The sequence below is a fragment of the Homo sapiens genome, chromosome X (assembly GCF_000001405.40).
Source record: "Homo sapiens chromosome X, GRCh38.p14 Primary Assembly".
Lineage (NCBI taxonomy): Eukaryota > Metazoa > Chordata > Mammalia > Primates > Hominidae > Homo > Homo sapiens.
In genome coordinates this window covers 79282318-79309334 of record NC_000023.11, presented here as the reverse complement: position 1 = coordinate 79309334, position 27017 = coordinate 79282318, and positions in this window count along the sequence as shown.

Here is a 27017-nt window from a genome sequence, read left to right as displayed (position 1 = left end):
TGGGACTCACGTTTCAGGTCACTAGACTCTTCTCTGGACAAGGAAATGTCCAGAAATCCCATCCAAAAGCCAAGTCTTATATTTGGAGAGCTTAAGATCCTCTTTGGTGTTCTACCACACAGTGTCCAAGCTACTACCTAAGTTTTAAGACAAAGTCTCCTTTACTTTTTCTTCCGCTTTTCTGAAACAGAAGGAGTCTCTCCCCATAGCTACCACACCTGGGAATGTGAAGTCTTATCTGAAGCCATCATGTCTCAGAGTCTCACTGAAGGCTCATGGCATATTACTTGGTTACTACTACTGGTTTTCAGGGCTCAAGGGCTCTTTAGTCAGTATGTGATGCTTCATGCCAGAACTGGATTTTTTCCATTCGAGACAGTGGTTTCTCTTCTGGCCCAGAGTGTTTCTAGAAATGTTATCTGTGAGCTAGGTCCTGGAAAGGGAACCCCACGACCCTGACTGGTGCCCTATCCTTCTGTGGCTGAGCTGGTGTCTAAGATGCAAGACGAAGTCATTTTTACTCTTCCTTTTTCTCTCCTCAAGTAGAATTAAGGAGTCTTTTTTGAAGCTGTGAGCTGTGCAGCCTGGAGTTGGTGGAAGGTTGGCAAAAGCACTTTCTCAGCTTCCCTGCTCGTGACTCAGTAGGTCGCATGCCCCACAAGTCCACTAACCCTGAGACCAGTACAGTACTTGCACTCACCTAGGAGTTGCAGTTCTTGTGGGCTAGATGGCCTTTGAAGTTTATTTGTGGCTCCAGAGGACTTTAGCCTGTGGTGGCAAACTTGGTGGAACTCAAGTTCTGACTGCTGGGATTGGTGATTCCCCTCTGGCTAGGACTGTTTTAAATATTCCCTCCATGGGTGCAAGTCAGCTAAGTTCAACCAAGTTTTGCTTTCTGCTATAACACAGCAGCACTGAGTTCAATGCAATTTATTACAATTACTGCACTCTCCCTATCCCAAACAAATGAACAGAATATCTGTCTGCATCATGTGGTGGCTTCCATGGTATGAGGGAGTGGTGGCATCAGTTATTTAAGACTGTCTTTTCTACCCTCTTCTCTGTCTCTTTCAGTGATATGAACTTAAAACCAGGTACTGTGCATGCTCATCTGATTTTTGGTTTTACAAAGGTGTTTTTTTTGTTTGTTTGTTTGTTTGTTTTGTAGGTAGATGTTAAATTGGTGTCCTTGTGGAGAAAGGGGACAATCAGTGCAGTTTTCTATTTAGCCATTGTATTAGTCCGTTTTCACACTGCTGATAAAAACATACCTGAGACTGGGTAATTTACCAAAAAAAAGAGGTGTATTGGACTTACAATTCCACATGGCTGGGGAGGCCTCACAATTATGGCAGAAGGCAAGGAGGAGCGAGTTACATCTTACGTGGATGGCAACAGGCAAAATGAGAACTTGTGCAAGGAAACTACCGTTTTTAAAACCATCGGATCTCATCAGACTCGTTCACTATCACAAGAACAGTGCGGGAAAGTCCTGCCCCCGTAATTCAATCACCTCTCACAGGGCTCCTTCCAAAACACAGGACAATCATGGGAGTCACAATTCAACATGAGATTTAGGTGGGAACACAGCCAAACCATAGCAGCCATCTTGCTTCACCCCTACTCTAACGCTAGAAGTTTTTAATACCACCACATATTGTGTTCACAATTCCCTGATTGCCTTAATTTAAAAAATATTTTGGTAAAATATGCACAACATAACATTTTCCATTTTTCTTAAGTGCATAATTCAGTAGCATTAAATACATTCAAAACATTATACAACCCATACCACTACTCATTTTTAGAACTTTTTCTCCATCCTAATCAAATACTGTGTAACCATTAAACAATGACTTTCCGTTCCTCCCTTGCCATATCCCATACTAACTGCTAATCTACTTTCTAACTGTATAAATTTGCTTATTATAGGTACATTATATATGTGAAATTATTTAATATTTGTCATTTTGTCTCTGGCTTATTTGACTCAGCATAATGTTTCCAAGGTTCATCTATGTTGAAGCATCTTTTAGGATTTCATTATTTTCAAGGCTGAATAATATTCCATTGTATGTGTATATTTATTGTATGTGTATCCCTTTGTGTGTTTATATCATGAATGTTTTATCTATTCATCTGTTGATAGAAATATGGGTTGTTTCCTCCTTTTGGCTATTGTAAAACAAACTGCTACAAACACTACTCTGTATATATCTCTTTTAGTTCCTGCTTTCAATTCTTTTGAGTGTTATATACCTGGGTGTGTAATTTATACACTATATAGTAATTATGTGTTTAACATTTTCAGAAATCAACAATTTTACACATTTTCTCTGATATTTTACATCCTACCAGAAATCTTAAGATTTTCAATTTCTCCAAGTTATTAACAACAGTAGTTAATTTTCACCTTCCTAAGTGTTGTGAAGTGGTATTTTATCGTTTTTATTTGGATTCCTGCTGTGGCTACTGATAGTAAAAATATTTAAACTTTCTTATGGGCCATTTGTGTACCTTCTTTAAAAATGACTACTCAAGATTTTACCAATTTTTGAGTTTAGTCGCTTTATTTATTTCTTTTTGTTGTGTTGCAGGAGTTCTTTAAATACTCTGGATATTAATGTCTCATAAAATATATCATTTGCAAATATTTTCTCATATTCTATAGGTTGCCTTTTCACAACTAAATAATAATGCCCTTTGATGGAGAGAAGTTTTTGATTTGGATGAAATCCAGTTTATCTATTTTCTCTTGCTACCTTTGTCATATCCAATACATGATTACAAATCTGTCAAAAATATTTTCTCTATGTTTTCTTTTAACAGAGAACCTCAGTTTGCTAATATTTTGTTGAAGTAGTTTGTATTAGTATTCATAATGGATATTAGTCTGTAATAATTTTTCCCTTGTGATGTTGTCTGGTTTGTTTTCAGGGTAATAATGGCCTCATAGAATGAGGCTCTTAGTGTTCGCTTAAATTTTTTTTTGAGAAATATTAGTGTTAATTATTTAAGTGTTTGATTGAATTCTCCAGTGAAATCATATGTTCCTGTTGTTGTTGTTTTTGAGAGCTTTTTTATCAATTGCCTTACTTTTCTCAGGTGAATTCAGATATTTTCTTATTTCTTCATGAGTCAGTATTAATAGAGTGCATTTTCTAGAATTTATTTATTTACATTAAATTGGTTTTTGTGAATACAATTATTCATAGTATTCTCCTTTTGTCATTTTTTTATTCCTCTAAAATCAGGAGCAATGCCCCTGTTGTAGTCTGTTTCTCTAATCACTATCATGAGAACAGCATCTGAAAAAGCTCCCCCATGATTCAATTACTTTCCACCAAGTCCCTTCCATAACAAGTAGGGATTATTACAATTCAAGGTGAGATTTATTTGGGACACAGAGCCAAGCCATATCAGTTCCCAATTTCATTTCTTTTATTTTTTGTCTCCAACTTTAATTTTAGGTTCACAGGGTACATGCGCAGTTTTGTTATATGGGTAAGTTGCAGGTCGTGGAACTTTAACATACAGAATATTTTTTCACCAAGGTAATGAGCATAGTAACCGATAGGTAGTTTTACAATCCTCCCCCTCCTCCCACCTTTCACCTTCAAGTAGACCCTGGTGTACATTGTTTCCTTCCTTGAGCTTATGTGTACTCAATATTTAGTTCCCACTTATAAGTGAAAACGTGTGATATTTGTTTTTCTTCTCCTGTGTTAAATCGCTTAAGACAATGATCTACAGCTGCATCTGTGTTGCTTCAAAAGACATGATTTTGTTCTATTTTATGGTAGTGTAGTATTTCTACATGCCATATTTTCTTTATTCATCCCACTTTTGGACATCTGCTTTGATTCCACATCTTTGCTATTGTGAATAGTGCTGTAATGAACATTTGTGTGCATGTGTCCTTATGGTAGAATGATTTGTATTTCTTTGGGTGTATACCCAGTAATGATATCACTAGGTCAAATGTTAGTTCTAAGTTCTTTGAAAAATCTCTAAACTGCTTTCCACCAACAGTGTATAAGTGTTCCATTTTCTTCACAACCTCCCCTGTATCTGTTATTTTTTGACTTTGTGATAACACCCAATCTGACTGATGTAAGATGGCATCTCATTATAGTTTTGATTTACATTTCTCTGATGATTAGAAATAAAGAGAATTGGTTATATGTTTGTTGGCCCCATGTATGTCTTCTTTTGAGAAGTGTCTGTTTGTGTACTTTGCCTATTTTTTAGTGGGGTTATTTGTTTTTAGCTTGTTGATTTATGTTCTCTATAGGTTCTGGATATTAGGCTTTTGTCAGATGCATAGTTTGTGAATATCTTCTCCCATTCTGTAGGTTGTCTGTTTACTCTGTTGATAGTTTCTTTTGCTGTACAGATGCTCTCCAGTTTAATTAGGTCTTACATGTCAATTTTTGCTTTTTTTTTGCAATTACTTTTGGCATCTTCATCATCAAATCTTTGCCAGGTCCCACGTCCAGAATGATATTTCCTAACTTTTCTTCTTGAGTTTCTACAGTTTTAGGTGTTACATTTAAGTCTTTAATCCATTTCCAGTTAATTTTTGTATATGGGGAAAAGGAAGGCTTAAGGCTCAATATTAAGCATATGGCTTAATATTATGCTATTGGATTTATCCAAGCACAATTTATTGAATAGGGAGTCTTTTCCTCATTGCTTGTTTTGGTTGGTTTTGTTGAAGATCAGATGGTGTTAGGTTTATGGTTTATTTCTCAGTTTTCTATTCATCTGGTTTTTTTTTTTTTTTTTTTGCTAGTACCAAGTTCTTTTGGTTACTGTGACTTTATAGTATCATTTGAAATCAGATATTTCAATGCCTCCAGCTTTATACTTTAGCTTATAATTGTTTTGTCTATTCAGGCTCTTTTTGATTGCATATAAATTTAAGAATACCCTTTGCTAATTGTGTGAAGAATGACATTGGAATAGTAATAGGAATATCATTGAATCTTTAAATTGCTTTGGGCAGTATGGCCATTTGTAAAATACTTATTTTTCCAATTTATGAGCAACAAATGTTTTTCATTTATTTGCATTATCTGGTTTATTTTAGCAATGTTTTGTCATTCTACTTGTAGAGGTCTTTTACCTCCTTGATTAGCTGTATTCCTAGGTATTACATTTTCCTTGTGGCTATTGTAAGTGGGATTGGGTTCCTGATTTCACTCTCAGCTTGAACTTTTTTTTTTGTATATAGAAATGCTACTGATTTTTATACATTGGTTCTGTATCCTGAAACTTCATTAAAGTAGTTGATCAGTTCTAGGGGCCCCCTGGTAGAGTTTTTAGAATTTTCTTTGTATAGAATTATATTATCCATAAGTAGAGATAGTCTGACTTCTTCTATTTATATTTGAATGCATTTGCTTATTTATTTTGCCTGATTTTCCTAAGTAAGACATCCAGTACTAGGTTAAATATGAGTGGTGAGATTAGGCCTTCTTGTCTTGTTCCATTTCTCTAGGGGAATGGCTTGAGCTTTTGCCCATTCAATATGATGTTGGCGGTGGATTTGTCTTTGATGGCTCTTAGTATTCCATGGTATGTTCCTTCAATGCTTAGTCTGTTGGGGGTTTTTATCATGAAGGGATGTTAAATTTTATCAAAAAAAATTTCTACATCTATTGAGATGATCACTTGTTTTTTTTTATTTAATTCTGCTTGTGTCTTAAATCACTTTATTTGTGTATGTTGAACCAGCCTTGCATCCCAGGAATAAAGTCTACTTGATCATAGTATATTCACTGATGTGCAGCTGAATTTGGTTTGCTAATATTTTGTTGAAGACTTTTGTGTTTATGTTCATAAGTGGTATTGACCTGAAGTTTTTGTTGTTGTGTCTCTGCCACATGTTGGTATTAGCCTTATACTTGCTTGCTAGAATGAGTTAGGAAGGTGATCCTCCTCCCCACTTTTTTGGAATGGTTTTAGTATGATTATTATCATTAGTTTTGTTTTTGTTTTTGTTTTTGTTTTTAAGACAGAGTTTCTCTCTGTCTCCCAGGCTGGAGTGCAACGGCGTGATCTTGGCTTACTGAAACCTCTGTCTCCCTGGTTCAAGTGATTCTCTTGCCTCAGCCTCCTGAGTAGTTAGGAATACAGGCATGTGCCACCATGCCTGGCTAATTTTTCATATTTTTAGTAGAGACAGGGTTTCACCATGTTGGCCAGGCTGGCCTCGAACTCTTGACCTCAAGCAATCCACCCCCCTTGGCCTCCCAAAGTGCTGGGATTACAGGCATGAGCCACCGCTCCCAGCCTAGTTTTTCTTTATATATCTGGTAAAATCTGGCTGTGAATCTATCTGGTCTAGGACTTTTTTTGGTTGGTAGTTTCTTCATTACTGATTCAACTTCAAATTTTGATAATTATCTAATGAGGGTTTAAATGTGTTCCTGATTCAACCTGGTGAGATTGTATGCTTCCAAGAATTTATTTATTTCCTCCAGATGTTCTAATTTGTGTGCATAGAGTAGTTCATAGTAGTCCCTGAGGATTTTTTGTATTTCTGTGAGATCAGTTATAATATCACATTTGTCTTTTTATATATATATATATTTTTATTATACTTTAAGTTCTAGGGTACATGTGCACAACGTGCAGGTTTGTTACATACATATAAATGTACCATGTCGGTGTGCTGCACCCATTAACTCATCAATTTTTTTGATTGTGTTTATTTGGATCTTTTCTTTCTTTGTTTAGCTATCAGTCTGACAATCTTATTCATTTTTTCAAATCAGCCACTATTGGTTTTACTGAACTTTTATATGGATTTTTGCATCTTCATTTCATTAATTTCTTCTCTATTTTTAGTTTTTATTTTGTTCTGTTGGCTTAAGTGTTGGTTTATTTATTTTTTTTAGTTTCATTAAGTTCAAAGTTAGAGAGTTAATTTGAGATATTTTTGTCTTCTTGATAAAGGCATTTAGGGCTATAAACTTTCCTCTTAACACTGCTTTCGGTGCATCCCATAGATTTTGGTTAGCTGTTTCTCTACTTTCAATAATTTTAAAGAATATTTTGATTTCTGCCCTAATTTCAATGTTCACCTAGGTTTTATTCAAGAATAAGTTGTTTCATTTCCATGGATTTTTGTAGTTTTGAGAGATCTCTTTGATATTGATTTCCATTTTTATCACACTGTTGTTTGAGATTGTGCTTGAATTCACTGAGACTTGTTTTATGAACAAGCATATAGTTGATTTTAGAATATGTTCCATGAGCATATGAGAAAAATTTATATTCTAAGGTTGTTTCGTGGAGTGTACTGTATATGTTTGTTACAGATAGCCATTAGAGTGGCAGGAGAAGGGCCCCCCTACCCTTCACACACCAGGAATGTCAAATGATCAGGTGATGGTTTGAAAATTATCCCATTGACCCTCTATAAATGATAATCGACAGCCGGCCTCAGGGAAAGACAATCTCCTAATGGTCCACAGCTGTTAACATTACAGTGTTAATTGAATGCAGGTGCCAGGAAGAAGGGAGGATTCCAATAAAATCTCATGTATTGGATGAGTGAGCCTGGGCATGTGCATTAAGAAGCACAATGATGGAGTATGACCTCCCAGGGACACTCCACCGGAAAAGCAAAGAAAAGCCTCAGATGGGCATGTGTACAACTTCCTAAACACACTGCACATGCTCACTTCCCAAGTATAAAGTTCTATGATCAAGGTTAAACACTGCACTGTTTCTTCAAGTTGCCCACTTGGATCTCTTCCAAGTGCACTTTCCTTTCTTTCCTGTGCTAAAGCTTTTTAATAAACTTCTACTCCTGCTCTGAAACTTGCCTTGGTCTCTTTTTCTGCCTTATGCTCTTCAGGCGAATTATTTCTTCTGAGGAGGCAAGAATTGAGGTTGCTGCAGACCTATACTAATTTGCTACCTGTAAATCAGATACCTTCAACTGGTAACATGTTTATTAGGTAAGTGTCAAGTTTAAGTCCAGACTTCCTTTGTTAATTTTCTGCCATAATAATATGTCTAATGCCATCAGTGGGGTTCTGGAGTCTACTATTACTATTGTGTGATTGTCTAAGTATTTTATAGGCCAAGAAGAACTTGTTTTATGAATCTCGGTGCTCCAATGTTAGCTATGTATACATTTAGGGTAGTTAAGTCCTCTTGTTTGATCGTACCCTTTTTTGTTATGTAATGGCCCTCATTGTCCTTCTTCATTTACATTAGTTTAAAATCTGTTTTATCTGACATAAAAATAGTGACTCCTGCTCTTTCTGTTTTCCATTGGCATGGTAGATTTTACTCCACCCTTTTACCTTGAGCTCATGGGTGTTTTTACATGTAAAATATGTCTCTTGAATACAACAGATGGTTGGGTCTTCTATTTTTATCCAGCATGCCACTCTATCTCTTTCAAATGGGTTGTTTAGTACATTTACATTAAAGGTTAGTATTAATAACCATAATTTTAATCCTTTCATTTTGTTGTTAGCTGTCTGTTATGTAGATTTGATTGCATAGTTGCTTCACAGTACTTTGAGCTATATGCGTAAGTGTGCTTTTGTGGTAGCAGGTGTCATTCTTGTTATTCTATGTTTAGCACTCCCTTAAGGATCTCTTGTAAGAATAATCTAGTTGAAATACATTCCCTCAGCATTTGCTGTCCAAGGAGAATTTTATTTCTCATTCACGTATGAAGCTTAGTTTGGAGAGATATAAAATTCTTTCTTGAATTTCTTCCTTTTAATGATACTGAAAATAGGCCCCATTTTTTTCTACAAGCGTAATATTTCTGCTGAGAAGTTTACTGCTAGCCTGGTTGAGTTCCCTCTGTAAGTGACCTGGCCCTGCTCTCTAGCTTTCCTTAAAATTTTTCTTTTGCATTGATTTCAGTAAATATAATGACCATGTACCTTGGGAATGGTCATATTGTATAAAATCAGTCCGGAGTTCTTTGTAATTCATGGATTTTTCAGTTTCTCTAATGAGATAATAAAGTTTCATGGACCTAATTCTCAAATATATTTCCCAAGTTCCTTGTACTTTCTCCTCCTCTCTCAGGAATGTTGACAAGTTGTAGATTTGGATTCTTTACATAATTCCATATTTTATTTTTTGGAAGTTTTTCTCATTTTTCTTAATTTTTAAAAATTTTTTGTCCATTCAAATAACTTGTCTTTGAGCTCTGAGATTAATTCCTCAACTTGGTTTATTCTGCTGTTAATAAATCCAGTTTTACTGTGAAATTCTTGTTGTAAAATTTTCAGCTCCTGAAGTTCAGTTTTGTTCTTTCCTAGAATGGCTATCTTGTCTTTCAGCTCTTGAATAATTTTACTCTATTGCTTGGTGTCCTTGAATTGAATTTCAACTTTCTCCTCTATCTTGATGAGCTTCGTTGCCATCCACATTTTTAATTTCATGTCAGTTATTTCAGACATTTCAGGCGGGTTAAGAAGCATTGCTGCAGAATTAGTGGGCTCGTTTTAAGAGGACATACTGGCTTTTTAAATTACTCAAGATCTTGTGCTGACTTTTTCTCATCTGGGAATGTTGTCATTCCTTTAATTTTGGTGTAAATGGGAGTATAGTCAGTTGGCTTCATTTTTGGTAGTTTTCAGAGCATTAAAGTTCTGTATAGGGTCTTTGTAGTCAAATTTTTGCTTTTGGTTTCACAGAGTGGGGAGAATTAGTAAACATTTTTAGTGTTGTAGTTTGGGCAGCGATCCAGTAAATGGCACTTGTGAACAGTTGGCAGTAGACAGGCTCTTACTCAGCCACATGGCTCATTTGTGTATACTTGAATTTTCAGTTGTTTTCTGTGGTGTGAGATGAATAGAAGTGACCTCCTCACCAGTTCTGCTCTTAGGCCTTGGGGAACCCACCTCTGATCATTGGCACTGTACCCACAATTTTGTTGTTGTTGCTGTTGTTAGGTCTTCAGGGCCATGGGGCTCCCTTGTAGAGAGGTTCAGTAGAGAGATAGCCCACTCTCCTACTAGACCAGCACTGTGGAGGGAGGCATGCCTAAGTCCCAGATCAGCACTTGAAACTGTGAAACTCGCCACTCTTATTTTTCTGAGAGTGTGGGCTCCTACTCTACTCAAATGCTGCACACAGATTCCTGGCTTGGCACTCCTGAGCCACAAGCTACAGCCCTGGGTAACAAGGACCTGCTCATGGTTCCTTCCTACCAACACTCAGGGATAGGTTCTAGGTGTGTTGGGGTATCTGAAGGACTCCCAGACTGCTGGAACTAAACCAGGTGGAGCAAAGCACACAGAATGGGCAGCAGAGGTTGCACTGTGTACACATTCTTGTGGAGTGACCAGGCAGAAGCTCTGGAAGGTTCTGGTAGGCCTGCAGCTCAGATATGTCTCAGTCCCAAGAGGAAGCAGTCCCTTATTTCTCCCTGGAAGTTAGCTTGGACCAGAGCCTCTCAGAGGGAGATGAGCATCCCTGGGGGGTCAGCCCTTATTGCTGGGCTCTACTAGAGCTGTCCCATGCCCAAATGTCCCTGGCTCTGTGCCTGCTGCAGCTTCATCTCTGCCTAATCTCTGAGGAGATCCCCCTGCCAGCTAAAATGTCTGTGGATGCTGCAGGAATCCTCTGAAGCTAGGATCCCAGAGGTCCACAGCAAAAGTGGGAATTCCCTCAGTCTCTTCACTTACCCCTTTCCTAGGTGCCATTCGGGGCCAGGGATGAGCCCTGGCATTCAGGCAGGCTTCCAAGTTTTCTTCATATTTAGCCTCAGCATCTGCATATTTTATCCATCCACATTGATCATATTCCTTCTGGAGATCTGTTCAAATTATGTACATTAAATGAAATCCCAATCTCTGTGGGAGTGGCACTTCCCGGCTGCATCTAGCTGACTATCTTCCAATAGGTCTCCAATGTTCCTCTATTGTTTATTTATCTCGGATCTATTGTTATTGTTTTCCTCTTTTAATACATTTGAACTATTTGCTCTTCTTTTCCTAGTTCCTTCAAGGCGTAAAGTTGTTAAAGAATTGAGATCTTTCTTGCATTAGAATGTAGTCATTACTGCAATAAATTTTGCATTTACCACTACTTTCACTACATCTCATAAATTTTAGTGTTTGTGTTTTCATTTTATCTCAGTTATTTTTAAATTTTCTTTGTAATTTCTAATTGTATCCATTTAAACTTTTAGTGTGTTGTTTAATTTCCACATACTTGTGAATTTTCTAGTATTCCTTCTGTTATAGATTTCTAGTTTTCTTGTGAGCAAAAATATTACTACATATAACTTAAAACTAAAAAAATAATAATTAAGACTTGTTCTGTGGCCTAAGACATGTTCTATCTTGGAGAGATAATCCACATGCATCAAGGGAGAGACCTGGTTGGAGGTGATTGGATCATTGGGGCAGTTTCCCTCATGGTGTTCTCATGATAGTGAGTGAATTCTCATGAGATCTGATGGTTTCCTGAGGGGCTCTTCCCCCTTCACTCTTTGCTCTTCTTTTCTCTCTCCTGTCACTTTGTGAAGAAGGTTCCTGTTTTGCCTTCTGCCATGATTATAGGTTTACTGAGGCCTCCCCAGCTATGTGAAACTGTGAGTCAGTTAAAGCTTTTTTCTTTACAAACTAACTGGTCTTGGGTATTTCTTTATATCAGTGTGAAAACGGAATAATACAACATACCAGTAGGTCTTGGTTCTTTAACCAGCTTGTAATTCTGTGCCTTTTAATTGGGGAATTTAGTCCATTTACATTCAAGGTTTATATGATATGTGTAGATTTGATCCTATCTTCATGATGTTAGCTGGTTATTATGCAGACATTTTTGTGGTTGCTTTATAGTGTCACTGCTTTGTGTACTTAAATGTGTTTTTGAAATGGTTCATAAAGTTCTTCCCTTTCAATATTTAGTGCTTCCTTCAGGAGCTCTTATAAGGCAGGTCTGGTGGTGATGGATTTCATCAGCATTTGCTTGTCTGGAAAATATCTTATTTCTCCTTCAATTATGAAGCTTAGTTTGGCTGGATATGAAATTCCTTGTTGGAATTTCTTTCAGAATGTTAAGTATTGGCCCCTAATCTCTTCTGGCTTTTAGAGTTTCTGCTGGGAGTTCTACTTTTTGTCTTATGCCATTCTCTTTGTAGGTGACCTGACATTTCTCTCTAGCTGCCTATAAAATTTTTTCCTTCATTTGACCTTAGATAATTTGATGACTATATATCTTGGGAATAATTTTCTTAAGAAATATCTTACTGGAGTTTTCAGCATTTACTGAATTTTAATGTTGGCCTCTCTAGCAAGATTGGGGAAGTTCTCAGGAATGTTATCTTGAAATAAGCTTTCCAAGTTTGTCCCATTCTCCTCATCTCTTTCAGGACACCAAATAGAGGTAGATTTGATCTATACATAATCTTATATTTCTCCAACATTTTGTTCATTCCTCTTTATTTTTTTCTCTTTTTAAAACTTGTTTTCTTTTTATTTCTTTTATTTCAATAGTTTTTGGGGGTACAGGTGGTTTTTGGTTACATGAATGAGTTCTTTAGGGATGAATTCTAAAATTATAGTGCACCAATCAGGCAAGCAATGTACACTGTACCCAATATGTAGCCTTTTATTCCTCACCCTCCTTCCAGCATCCCTGCCAGAGTTCCCAAAGCCCATTATATCTCTCTGTATGTCTTTGTGTCCTCATAGCTTAGCTCCCACTTATAAGTGGCAACATACGGCATTTGATTTTTCATTGCTGACTCACTTTACTTAGAATAACAAGTTCCAGGCCGGGCGCAGTGGCTCACGCCTGTAATCCCAGCACTTTGGGAGGCCGAGGTGGGCAGATCACCTGAGGTCGGGAGTTCGAGACCAACCTGACCAACATGGAGAAACCCCATCTCTACTAAAAATACAAAAAGTTAGCCAGGAGTGGTGGCCCATGCCTGTAATCCTAGCTACTTGGGAGACTGAGGCGGGAGAATCGCTTGAACCCGGGAGGCAGAGGTTGCGGTGAGCCGAGATCACACCATTGCATTCCAGCATGGGCAACAAGAGCAAAATTCCATCTCAAACAAACAAACAAAAACAAACAAACAAAAAAAACAACTTCCAGCTCTATCTAAGTAGCTGCAAAGACATTATTTTGTTTATTTTTATAACTGAGTAGTATTTTATGGTGTATATACAATCATATTTTCTTTATCCACTCATTGGTTGATGTGAACTTAAGTTGGTTCCACATCTTTGCAGTTGTGAATTGTTTTGCTATAAACATGCATGTGCATATTTCTTTTTCACACAGTAACTTCTTTTCCTTTGAGTAATTACCCAGGAGTGAGATTGCTGGATCAAATGGTAGTTCTTCTTTTAGCTTTTTAAGGAATCTCCATGCTATTTTCCATAGTGTTTGTATTAATTTACATTCCCACCAGCAGTATAAAAGTGTTCCCTTGAGACTTTACTGGATTCCTTTATGGATCTAGGAGCTCTATGGGTGAGTCTTTAGGGTTTTCTAGGTATACAATCACATCAGTGGTGAACAGTAGAATTGGTGAAAGTGGAAATCCTTGTCTTGTTCCAGTTCTCAGGGAGAATATGCTTTCAAATTTTTCCATTCAGTATGATGTTGACTGTGGGTTTGAAATATATAGTTTCTATTACTTTAAGGTAAGTCCCTTCTATACCTAGTTTTTGAGAATTTTTATTAGAAAGGGATGCTGGATTTGATCAAATCCTTTTTTTCTTTGTCTATTGAGGTGATCATATGGTTTTTGTTTTTAATTCTGTTTTTGTGAGGTATCACATTTATTGACTTGCATATGTTTTACCATTCTTGCATACTTGGGATGAAACCAACATGATCATGGTATATTATCTGTTGAATGTTCTGTCAAATTCTGTTAGGTAGCATATTTTTCTGAGAACTTTTGCATCTATGTTTATCAGAAATATTGGTTTATAGTTTTTGTTGTTGTTGTTGTCCTTTTCTGGTTTGGATATTAGGGTGATACTGGTTTCATGGAATGTTTAGGGAGGATTCCCTCTTTAATTATATTTTGGAATAGTTTCAGTAAGATTGCTACTAATTCTTGGAATGTCTGGTAGATTCAGCTGTGAATCCATCTGGTCCTGGACTTTTTGTTGTAGGTAATTTTTTTTTTTATTACTGATTCTATGTCACAGCTTGTTATTGGTCTGTTTAGGGTTTCTATTTTCTTCCTGATTTATTCCAGTTGTGTTCTGTGTTTCTAGAACTTTATCTGTTTTCTCTAGGTTTTCCAGTTTGTGTGTGTAAAAATGTTCATAGTAGACTTAAATTTTTTTTGTATTATCATTTGTAATGTTTCTTGTTTAATTTCTAATCAAGCTTATTTGAATCTTCTCTCTTCATTTATCGGTTAATCTCACTAATGCTCCATCCATTTCATTTATTTTTTCAATAACCAACTTTTGCTACATTTATCTTCTGTATTTTTTTGTTTCAATTTTATTTAGTTTTTCTCTGATCTTTGTTATTTCTTTTCTTCTGCTGGCTTTGAATTTAGTTTGTTTCTGTTCCTCTAGTTCCTTGAAATGTGACATTAGGTGGTCAATTGGTGCTCTTTCAGACTTTTTAATGTAGTCATTTAATGCTATAAACTTTCCTGTTCACATGGCTTTTACTGTATCCCAGGCATTTAGATAATTTGTGTCACTATTATCATTCATTTCAAAGAACTTTTAAATTTCCATCTCAATTTTATTGTTAACCCAAAAATTATTCAAGGGCAGATTACTTAGTTTCCATGTATTTGTACAATTTTGAGGGTTCCTTTTGGAGTTGATTTCTCATTTTATTCCACTGTGTTCTGAGAAGATAGTTGATATGAGGTCAATATTCTGAATTTATTGGGATATTTTTGTGACCGAACATATGGTCTATCTTGGAAGATGCTCCATAAGCTGATGAGAAGACTGTGTATTGTTCAATTTGTGGGAATAATGCTCTGTAAGTATTTGTTAAGTTCATTTTTTTCTAGGTATACTTCAAATCCATTTTCTTCTTAGTTAACTTTCTGTCTTTATGATCTGTCTGGTGCTGTCAGTGGAGTATTGAAGTTCCCCACTATTAATGTGTTGCTATTTATCTCACTTCTTAGGTCCAGTAGCAATTGTTTTATAAATCTGGAAGCTTCAGTGATAGGTGCATATAAATTTAGGAGTGTAATATATTCTTGTTGCGCTGATCCTTTTATCATTATATAATGTTCTTCTTTGTCCTTTCTTTTTTTTCTGTTTCTGCTTTAAAGTCTGTTTTGTCTGATATAAGAATAGCTACTCTGCTCACTTCTGGTTTCCACTTGTGTGGAATAACTTCTTCCATCTCTTGACCCTGAGTTTATATGAATTTTTATGTGTTAGGTCAGCCTCTTGAAGAGAACAGATACTTGGTTGTTTCTTCTTCTTCTTCTTTTTTTTTTTTTAACCATCCTGCCATTCTGTATATTTTAAGTGGAGGATTTAGGCCATTTATGTTCAAAGTTAATAGCACTAAGATGTGAGGTACTATTGTATTCATTATGCCAGTTGTTACCTAGATTATTTGTTTTTTAAACTGTGCTATTGTTTTATAAGCTCTGTGAGATTTATGCTTTCAAGTGGTTCTATTTTGATGCATATTGAGCATTTGTTTCAAGATTTAGAACTCCTTTTTAGGATTTCTTGTAGTGCTGGTTTGGTAGTAACAAATTCCCTCAGCATTTTTTGTCTGAAAAATACTTTATATCACCTTCATTTATGAAGCTTAGTTTGACTGTATACAAAATTTTGGGCTGACAATCATTCTGTTTAAGGAGGCTAAGGATAGGACCCTAAGCCCTTCTGACTTTAAGGTTTCTGCTGAGAAGTCTGCTGTGAGTCTGATAGGTTTTTCGTTATACGTTACCTAATGATTTTGTCTCACAGTTTTTAGAATTATTTTGTGTGTGTGTTGAGTTTGGATATTGTGATGAGTAAATGCCTGGGTAATAATTTTGCAACAAATTCCCCAGGAGTTCTTTGAGTTTCTTGTATTTGGATATCTATCTAAATCTCTAGCAAGGCCGGAGAAGTTTTCCACAATTATTCCCTTAGATAGATTTTCCAAATTTTAGCCTTCTCTTCTCCCTCAGGAATACCAATTATTCCTAGGTTTGGCTGTTTTACATAATCCCATATTTCTTGGACACTTTGTGCATTTTTAAAATTCTTTTTTCTTGATCTTTGCTTGATTGGGTTAATTTAAATGCCTTGTCTTTGAATTTTGAAATTCTTTCTTCTACATGTACTAGTCTATTTTTAAAACTTTCTACTGCATTTTGTATTTCCCTAAGTGTGCCTTTCATTTTCAGAAGTTCTGACTGGTGTTTTTTTTTCCTTCAACTGTTATTTTAAGTTCAGGGGTACATGTGCAGGATGCGCAGGTTTGTTACACAGGTAAATGTGTGCCATGGTGGTTTGCTGCACAGATCATTACATCACCTATGTATTAAGCCCAGAATTCATTACCTCTTCTCTCTGATGGTTTTTCTCTATGATATATATCCTCTGAACATTTTTATTAATGTCCCAAATTATTTTTTTAAATTTAATAAGTCAGTTTTTACCTTCCTATGGTATCTTCTTAAGAAGCTTAGTAATCAACCTTCTCAATTCTTTATCTGGTATTTTTTTAAAAATTTCATCTTGAATTGGATCCATTGCTAGGGAGCTAGCATGATCTTTTGGGGGTGTGATAGAACCCTGTTTTGTGATATTACCAGAATTACTTTTCTGTGTTTTTCTCATTTGGGTAGACTATTTCTTCAAATTGTCCTTGAATTTATTTTTGATTTGTGGTTTTTTTAAATTTCTTTTTTTTCTCTTAAGGTTGTGACTTTAATATGTATAGTTTATTATTGCCTAATTTGGTTCTTGGTGCTTTTAGGGGTGGTGATTATGTATGAGTTACTTAGTTATAGACAGTCATTTTGTGCTGCTTTCTCAGATTCTGGTTGTAATAGTTATGTACTTGGTGTATAGGCAAAGTTCACTTTCTCCCATGGTTTCAGAATGATAAGGATCTGTTGAAACTTATTTTATACCCCTATGGTGTGCTCTTATTTATTTGTTTTTTCCCCAGTATTTTATTGATTGAGTTGGTGGTTCAGGCTTCAGGTCAGTAGGCGAAGCATCCCTGGATAGGAACCTGTTGTAGCTAAAGCAGGCAGGGATGAAGGTGCCTGGGAGAGCTCTCAACTAGATGCACTGAGGTTTTATCAAGGTGGAGGTTGAGAGCTACTTCAGCTCCTCTGCCAAGCCAGTAGAAAAGCTATCCACCTCCCAGCCTCACTCTTGTGACAGTGTTCTGGCTATTCAGATCAGACAGGCACCTCTCCTTTTCTGAAGGGTTGTTGATATTCTAAGTAGAGAGAAATTGTAACTCTACCTCTCATGCAAGTGTGTACCTGAGGAGTGATCCTCTTGTGTGGATGCAATCACCCTGAATTGTTCCAGGAAGGCTATCTTTAGGTGCATTCACACTGACTTCCTGTGGGAGAAGTCGCAGCTGCGTGTGCAGTGGTGGATAAAGGGGAAAGAAGGACCTCTTCTCCAAGACCCTTCATGATCACAGAGACTGCTTGACTGTTTAGGTAGAGGTGAACAATGTACTTGATGCATGCAGCACTGCAATTGTGTCTCTGCTAATAAATAAATAAATAACACTTTCTTCTAGCAGAAATATCTAGGATTTAAGCCTTGTTGTCATGATTCTTTTGTTCCATGGGGTGTTTCTTTGATGTAGTACACTTGCTCTTTCCTAGGAATAAGAGTTCCTAAGAGCCAGACTACCTATTGCTCTTCTGGGTCTAGCCACCCAAGAGGCTGCCACACTCTGGGCTGCTGGTGAGGAATGTCTGCCAGGGATCTATCTGGTGATGTGACTTATCCTCAACTTTCCCAACAGTGGGTACCAGCACCAGCTCTTATGGGAGTGCCAAGGGAGTGACATAGACTCTGTAAGATCCCTTGGTTTTAGATAGGCTTAGAGTACTGAATTTCTTAAATGCTGGTTAGTGATAGCTGAGCTCGTGCAGTCATTTGCTTCTTTCTGCATGTAGTGTTATTTTATCTAGAGAAGCTGTCATGGACTGTATTGGTTGGCTTCCAGCTAGAAGGTGATGCTTGCAGAAGAGCACCAGCTGCAGTAGTAGCAGTGGGATATGAGCTTGCCCTAAGTTTCCCAGGAAAAGTATTCTGGATTCTCTGGTGATGCAGATGGCTATAAAACTCACAAAAATGCATGATCTTTGTGTTAAGCTAACAAGGAGGGTGAAGGGGCACAACCAGGTTTGGGGAGGGTTAGGTGAGTTTGTGCCCTGACTCTCCGCAAAGAGGGCAAGCTGTGAGAGTTGGGAGCTGGTCCTTGGCCTGCTATGGTAATGTTGTAGAGACAAGTATAACTATCTCTGCTGCACAGAAGAGTTCAAAAAAGGAGTAGGAAGTAGCAGGTGTCAGTAAACCTAACTCAGTTCCCACACAGTGGGCAAGGCAGATCTCACTCCTCCAGTGCTCCACTAACAGCACCGGGTTAAGATCAAGGCAGCCCACAGACAGAACTGAGACCTGCCCCAGGCCATAAACTTTTTCCCCAGAAATAGCAACCGTGGCTTTTAGGCCATGCCTCTCCCCATCTTCCTGAAAGGCTGGGCACCCAGCTCTTGCACTTACATCTGTGGCACACTTCCTGCTTGCTCCCAGGGTTCTGGTCAAGACAATTTATTTCCACTCGAGATTATTTATGAAATTTAGTTTTGAGTTTCTTTCACCCTGTGACCCCTACCTGAGCTTGTTGGCTGAATTCCCCTGGGTCCTCTGTGAGGTATAATCAGGAATGGCTTCCCTTGGTTCACACTGGAGACTGGGAATGCCTGCCAGGTACTTCCCATGCTGCTTTTTACTTTTATATTTCTTGCCACTCTGTAAATCAGTTGCAGCTCTGCACAGAATTATGGCTTTCTCCTGTGGCCTGGATTTTCAGATTCCCGAATGGAGATGTACATCCTGGAGGCAGTCTCTACTCCTCTCACACTTTGGGGGCTTACAGTTTTTCACCTGTCTAAAAGAGTAGGCTGCAGCGTGCCAGTTCTTTCAAAGGGTTAGTGGCTTCTTTTGGTTTTTCTGTTAAGTTCCTGCATTGTTTCTTGGAAAAAAGCTCACCATGTGAATCTCTACACATTACTCTGTGTTTCCAATTGGGACAGGAATGCTAACACTGCCTCCAATCTGCTATTGTGGAAATACTTTTCTCAATTTTTTTCTCTTTTCTTGTCTGACTATATTTCACATATTTAGTCTTCAAGCTCTGAGATTCTTTCCTCAGTTTGGTCTATTCTGCTATTAATACTTGTGATTGCATTATGAAATTTTTGCAGTTTGTTTTTTAGCACTATCAGGCCAGTTGTTTATTTTCTATACTGGCTATTTCGTCTGTCAGCTCCTGTATCATTTTGTTGTGATTCTTAGCTTTCCTGAATTGGGTTTCAACATACTTCTGCATCTCAATGATCTTCATTCTTACCCATATTCTGAATTCTATTTCTGTCATTTCAGCCATCTCAGCCTGATTTGAAACCCTTGCTGGAGAGCTAGTGAAGTCGTTTGGAAGAAAGAAGGCACTACGGCTTTTTCAGTCGTCAGAGTTCTTGCACTTGCTCTTTCTCATCTTTGTGGGCTAGTGTTCCTTCGATCTTTAAATTTGCTGTCCTTTGGATTTTTTTTCCTTTTATCCTATTTGATGACCTTGAGGGTTGATTGTGGTATAAGGTGCGTTCAATTGACTGGCTTTATTTCTGGAAGATTTTATGGGGCCAAGGCTCAGCTTCTAACTTCTGGACCACATGCTATAACTGTGGGGGACTTGTGTCAGATCCTGACTTTGTTCCCTTGCTCACTGAGGTTAGGAACCCATTGTGCTGGGGTGTGTGTCGGTGGTGGTGGGGTACTGAGGTGGTCCCAGACCACTGCACACAGCAATCCAATGGGTGGTGCTAGCCAAAGTATTTTTTATGATGATGGCAGCAGAATTAGTCTTTGTTCCCCATGCCAGCAGCAGCAGCAGCAGCACAGCAGGGTGCATGCTTATCATCCTCAGCATTGTGCTAGCAGGTGCCAGGGTGCCTGCCTCTGTGCGGGCATTCACAGCAGTGGCAGAGGCAGCATAATTGGTGGGGAAGTGAGCAGGAGGCTCCTGCTGTCTACTATGCACATGGTCACATTGGTGGTGGTGCCAGCATGGCGGTGGGTTACTGGTGGTCGCAGGTCTCTGTGCACCCACACGTTCCTGCAGGCAGCAGTGGCTGCTCAGGGTGGGGGAGGGTCCATTGTTCTCTTTGCTTAGTTTCACTCTGGTAGCAGTGTTGGCACAGGTGTAGGGTTGGAGTGCTCTGTGTCTCCAAGGCTCTGCCTGCAATGTCATATGGCAGGAGAGGAAGGGTGGAATGCACTCCCATTGGCAGCTATGCATCACAGGGTGCATGTGTACATGTGTGCTGGCAGGGAAGGGAAGGCAAAATCCACTTGTGCACACATGAACTGGCAAAATAATGTAGAGTTGGCCATGGGCATGGGGGAAGCTGTAGTGATGAGATAAAGTGGGCAGGCTGGTGCATGACCACGGGGGCTTCCCCACTGGAGCTCCTTACCAATTTGGTGCGATTGGCTAGTACAGAAGCTATGATGTGTGCCCCCAGGGCACCTGAGATTACACTGCAAGCAGGCATGGACAGGCTGGGGTCCAGGGGGAGGCCAACAAACCAAGGGGTGCTCAGGTCAAACAGGTCCTATCTGATGGGCAAGACCACCCTGCAGAGTTCAGGTCCTACTGTTCCCTTAGGACTAAAGTCTCCTGTGGGGAACACGTTTAACCTAGGGGGATGGGCATCCCTGACTGTGCTCTGCTACAGATGCTACCACACAGAACTCTCTGGGCTCACCATTTCTCTGGCTTTCTCTGCCAACTCAAGTGTCCGTGCTGGTTGGTGGGAGGAGGGTTCTCCTCCCATTGATTATAGAGGCCTGTGGCTAGGCCAAGTTGCTCCTCGCCCATTCCACTCACCCATTCACCTGGAGATTTTGGGGACCAGGAATGAGTTCCCATGCATGACTGCCCTCTGCAGGGTTCCCATCTTCCTCCCCCTTCAGCCCAGCTTCTGTGTCTTCCCTCTGTCTATTCTCAGTGCCGTCCCTATGAAGGTCTGCTAGGAGTGTGCCAGTGGTCCTGGTCCCTTGGTGTTAGCTTTTCTACCTGGATGTGTCTATTTGACCATCTTGCCCAAATCTCCTTCTTTCAACACTTTAAATATAACACCCTATTGCCTTGTGGCCTCTAAGCTTTCTGGTGGTAAATCAGGAGATAGTCTTACTGTAGGTGATGAGTTGCTTCTATCTTGTTGCTTTCAAGATTCTCACTTTCTTTTTGTCTTTTGACAGTTTGAGTATAATATGTCTCAGTATGTGTCTTTTTGTGTTTATCTTACTTGGTGTTTGTGTAGCTTCTTAAATTTTTAGATTTATGTCTTTTATCAAATTAGGAAATATATTGGCCACTAATTCTTCTACTTTTTGATCTTTCTGACTGTTTTTCTCTCCTTTCTTTCTGGAATCCCCATAATGCATTTTTTTTTAATTTGCTTGACGGTGCCTTGTAAGTCTCTTAGGCTCCGTTTACTTTTCTTCTTTCATTTTTCTTCTGCTCCTTAGACTTGATAATTTTAATTGTCCTGTCTAAAGTTTCCTGATTTTTCTTTTGCCTTCTCAATCTTCTTCTAAACCCATCTAGTGATTTTTTCCCCAGTTATTGTTTCTTAGCTCCAAATTTTTCTGTTTTTTATAAAATAATTCTATCTCTTTCCTGATATTGTCATTTTGTTCACACATTATTTTTCCAATTCCTCCAGTTTTTTGATCATTTGTTTCTTTAGCTCTGTAAGCATATTTAAGACAGTTGTTTTAAAGTCTGTTCTTACAAAGTCTGATATGTAGACTTCCTCAGTGTTGGTGCCTGTTTACACTGTTTTCTTATGTCATGCTTTCCTGTTTCTTTTTTTGCATTGCAATGTTTTTGTTAAGTATTGGATTTTGGCTACTGTAATCTGGCAATTCTTGAAATACAGTTATCTCCCTTCCCATGTTTTTTTATTTCTATTGTTAAAGGCTATAGTGGACCATTTACTTTGAGACCTTTTCAAAATATTATTTGAAAAGGCTGTTTTCTGTTATGTGTGATTACTAAAGTCTCTGTTCCCTTATCTTGTGTTCAGCTAATGTTTTGACAGAACTTTATTTGAATGCCAGAAGCTCTTCCTTTCTTTCAAGATTGTCTCTGTGCTGTGGTGCTCCTTCAACACTTAGCTAAGCTTGCTCTGAGTGTATTGATCAACCCAATGTGAAATCTTAAGGTCTTCTCAGGTATTTTCTGAGAATGTCTTGCCCGATTATATGTGTAGTTTTCTAAATTCTCTCTGTATACATGGCTACTTTTGAATGTCCTACTTTCCCAGAGGTTTCAAGCCCAGCTTTTCCTCTGGGCCTTAGTTGGTCTATTGTATGTTTCCCTTCATCATCTCTTGTAGGCATCTGTAGGTCTGTAGTCAATTTGTAGTTTTTACAAGAAGTGCATGCAGCTTTTCTATATGAGTTCCAAGTTAAGCAACACATGAACGAGTGATTTGTATCAGCCTTTCAGCTAAATTTGTTTTGTTTTTCTCAAACAAATGAACAACAATGAAAAGTAAACAAGAAAACATTACTTAAAGATGTATATCAGCTGGTGGAGTAAGAAGAAAAACCTTCATGAATTGGGAGCTATGGTATAAGAGTATATGATAACTAGCAATGAACATTGAAATCAAATAAACATACAATGGGATAAAAATGGTTACGAGCTATTATATAAATGTTAAAAATATTTTGGAAAGCACTTTGGGAGGCCGAGGCAGGCGGATCACAAAGACAGGAGATCGAGACCATCCTGCCTAACACGGTGAAACCCCGTCTCTACTAAAAATACAAAAAATTAGCTGGGTGTGGTGGCAGGGGCCTGTAGTCCCAGCTACTTGGGAGGCTGAGGCAGGAGAATGGCGTGAACCCGGGAGGCAGAGCTTGCAGTGAGCTGAGATTGCTCCACTGGGCGACAGAGCAAGAATCCTTCTAAAAAAAATTATATATATATATATATATATTATATATATATATATATAATATATACATATTATATATATTATATATATATATTATATATATATATTATATGTATATAATATATATATAATATATATATATATGAAAAGAGAAATTAAGTGTGAAAAATAATAATTATGGGCCCACATCCTAGATTATCGTATGAGCCCAAGAAAGCCAGACATCAGCAGGGAGACGTGCAAAGAAGTAATATAAGTGATATAATTATTTTATTTAACCTTGGAACTACTCAGTAGAAACTGTATCTTCTTGTAATTGGTAAATAAAGAAATATAAGTGTGTGTGTGTGTCTGTGTGTGTGTGTGTGTGTGTGTTAAATACACCATTCTTTTGTAGGACAAGTAGGTAAAAAATGAATTAGGCTAGAAAATATTTAAACTTGCTGATGAAGTTATATATTATATAAACTTCCATACTTCATGAATATTTTATATAAATTATAAACTACATATTTATTTGTACTCTATCTTATGTCTTCTAAAAATGAAAGTAAGACACCGTTCTTTTCAAGCATCAATGGAGTATTTACAAGGACTAATCAGTATTAGATCCCAAGGAAACTCTCAATTCATTCCAAAAATGAAACCATTTACAGTGTATATTCTCTGGTAAACTGTATTACAATTAGAAACTGAACTTATTAAAAGATTCCATTATTCTTAGATCAAAGAAAAAGTAAAAACTGTAATCATAATTTATGTAATAAGAAAACTACTGAGTGTTTAAAACTGAAGGGTAAGGGCAAAGCTATAAGTAGCAACTTGAGACTTTTTATACTTCCTTTAAATAACACTTTATTATTACAAGAAATAAAATAATTGAACTCAAATATCAAAAAGAAAACACAAAGAGATGCCAAGAAATGTAGGAAGATGAAAATAATAAAAATTAAAAACAGAAATCAAAGATTAAGAAGAAATCAAACAGTAGAATAGATGAATAATTTCAAGAGGTTGTTATTTGGAAACCTTAAACAAAGTGGACAATCATTTGAAAAATTAAATCAAATCACAACAAGAGCAAAAGAGAGGAAGACAGTGACAGAGAGAGAGAAAAAAAGAACTAATTCATAAACAGTATAATGAGAAAGGGATATAATCACAAACATGGGGGAACCAGAAAAATTATTAAGAAATAATGCATATAGCACTATGCTAATAAAATATAAAATCTTGATGAATGGAAATTTTGGAGAAAGTGTAAATTACTAAAATTGACCAAGGGAGGACTTTTAAAAGTGAATAATACTCATGTAAAAACTGAAAACTTTTCAAAACTTCACCCAAAGGACTAACATTAATAACTGTGTGGTGAGGCTCACATTCTTGTATGCTACTGGTATGAATGTAAATTGGTATAACAAATAAATTTACCAAGAAGTTGTAAGTGTATTATAAGGGTTTATTGCATTTGACCTAGTATTCCCAGTTCTACAACAGTGTTCTAAATAGTTTTTTTTCTCTAAGGAAGACTATAGGGAAATTTATACAACAATTTTAGGGAAAAGAGAGGTTGGCCCAAGTATTCTATAAAGAGACAAATTACTAAATACTTGTGAGGAAAGAAGAAAGTTACAGAAAATATACATTCCCAGTACTACAGGAGTTAAAGTCAAATCAAATTAAACTTCAATCAAAATAAAGAACTCAAGTATGAGAACAGAAAAATTATAAACAATAAAACTATATAAAGTTAATGTTTAAAAAATCATTTATATAGTTATAAAACTTTATATCAATTTCAAAAATAAGTCTTGAAATAGAAGACATGTAACACAATAAAGAAAAAAACACTTTACATCTCCATCTTATAGTCTATTGATAGATACTATTTTATCTTTGATCTTGAAAGACAATAATAGAATTTTGTTGTATTTAAAAATACCCCCATAAGTATGTTAAAATACTAGAATAACTTCCAATTGTTAGAACAATAAAAAGAGCCAATAAACCTGAGCAATTCAGCAGAAAGAAAGTTGCAACCTGTATGTTAGATTAAAGTTTGCTATCTCTAATATGTAGAGCCTAGTGAGCTCATATGGAGCAAATACCCTATCTCTTCATTTCTTTAAACCCATACCATTGTCTTAAGCTCTTACTGTTACTCTAGTAGACCACGTGGGGTAATGGGGATAATAGGAGAAGGGAGTTTCAGCACCCATTTGAGAGAAGAAAATATAATTAGGTCTCCTTCTGTCCTTTTATATAATCACATGGAAGAAGAAAATATAAAACAGCTCCATAACGGGTGTAGCATTATAATGCAAAGTGTCTTGGAATCTGACTAGAGTTGTATTTCACCTTTGGGGGAGGATCAAGGAGGAATGTAGAAAGGGAATGGGGATTTTTTTTTCACCTTTTGTTATAAAGCATACAACAAAATATTTGTTTAGAAATGATGGTTTACAGAAATGGTGGTTTACCATATTTCTGTAAACTTCCACTTTGTACTTTGCAAATTTTTCATTTTAGATTGTCAGTGAGCATGTACTGATTTTAAAACTAGAATAGGCAATATATATTAAGATAATGTGCATTTTATTTAGAAGTGAATTTCATGTGTTTTTTTTTTTCTGTGGAAAGGGTGGCATTGAAAAGCCATAATAAACTTCTATTTCTATAATGAAAAACAAAAGCATGAACTCATTCTTCAAGTTTATTTTTTCATTCTATTTATTTGTTCTGTTTCTGAACTGGATTTCTAATTGCTCATTATATTTTAAAAGTCACTTTGTCCAGTCTCGTTGAAAACTGTGGCATAATCTTTTGTTGCTCTCTCACTAACAGTACACATTGAGGAAGAATCTATCATATATAAGTATACAGAATTTTTTTAAAAAATTAAAGATTATCTGTTTGTAGACCTTCTAACTTAGTTTACTCCTTCTACACACTGAATTACAGCCAGCTTATTAGTAGTATTAACCTGATTAATTTCCAAGTCAGTAGGTGTGCAGTATGTTCAGAATAAACTTCATTTAATTATTAGAATCAACAGTTGAAGGGTAATGTGCCATAGGGCTGGGGATATAAAGTTAAGTTAAACATGGTCACTGACTGATATGTTTTTTCTGTGTCCCCACCCAAATCTCATCTTGAGTTTTAGCTCTCATAGTTCCCACGTGTTGTTGGAGGGACCTGGTAGGAGGTAATTGCACCATGGGAGCGAGTCTTTCCCATGCTGTTCTTGCGAGAGTGAATAAATCTCATGGGATCTGATGGTTTTGTGAAGGGGAGTTTCCCCGCACATACTCTCATGCCGCCGCAATGTAAGATGTGACTTTGCTCCTGCTTCATCATCCACCATGATTGTGAGGCCTCCCCAACCATGTGGAACCATGAGTCAATTAATCCTCTTTTCTTTATAAATTACCCAGTCTCGGTATGTCTTTATTAGCAGTGTGAGCACAGACTAATACAGTAAATTGGTGCTGGTTAGTGAGGCACTGCTGTAAAGACACCTGAAAATGTGGAAGTGACTTTGGAACTGGATAACAGGCAGAGGTTAGAACAGTTTAGAGGGCTCAGAAGATAGGAAGATATGGGAAAGTTTAGAACTTCTTAGAGACTTGTTGAATGGCTTTGACCAAAATGCTGATAGTGATATAGACAATGGAGTCCAGGCTGAGGTGGTCTCAGATGAGATAAGGAACTTGTTGGGAATAGGAGTGAAAGTGACTCTTGTTATGGTTTAGCAAAGAGATTGCTGGCATTTTGCCCTTGCCCTAGAGATCTGTGGAACTTTCAACTGGAGAGAGGTTATTTAGGGTATCTA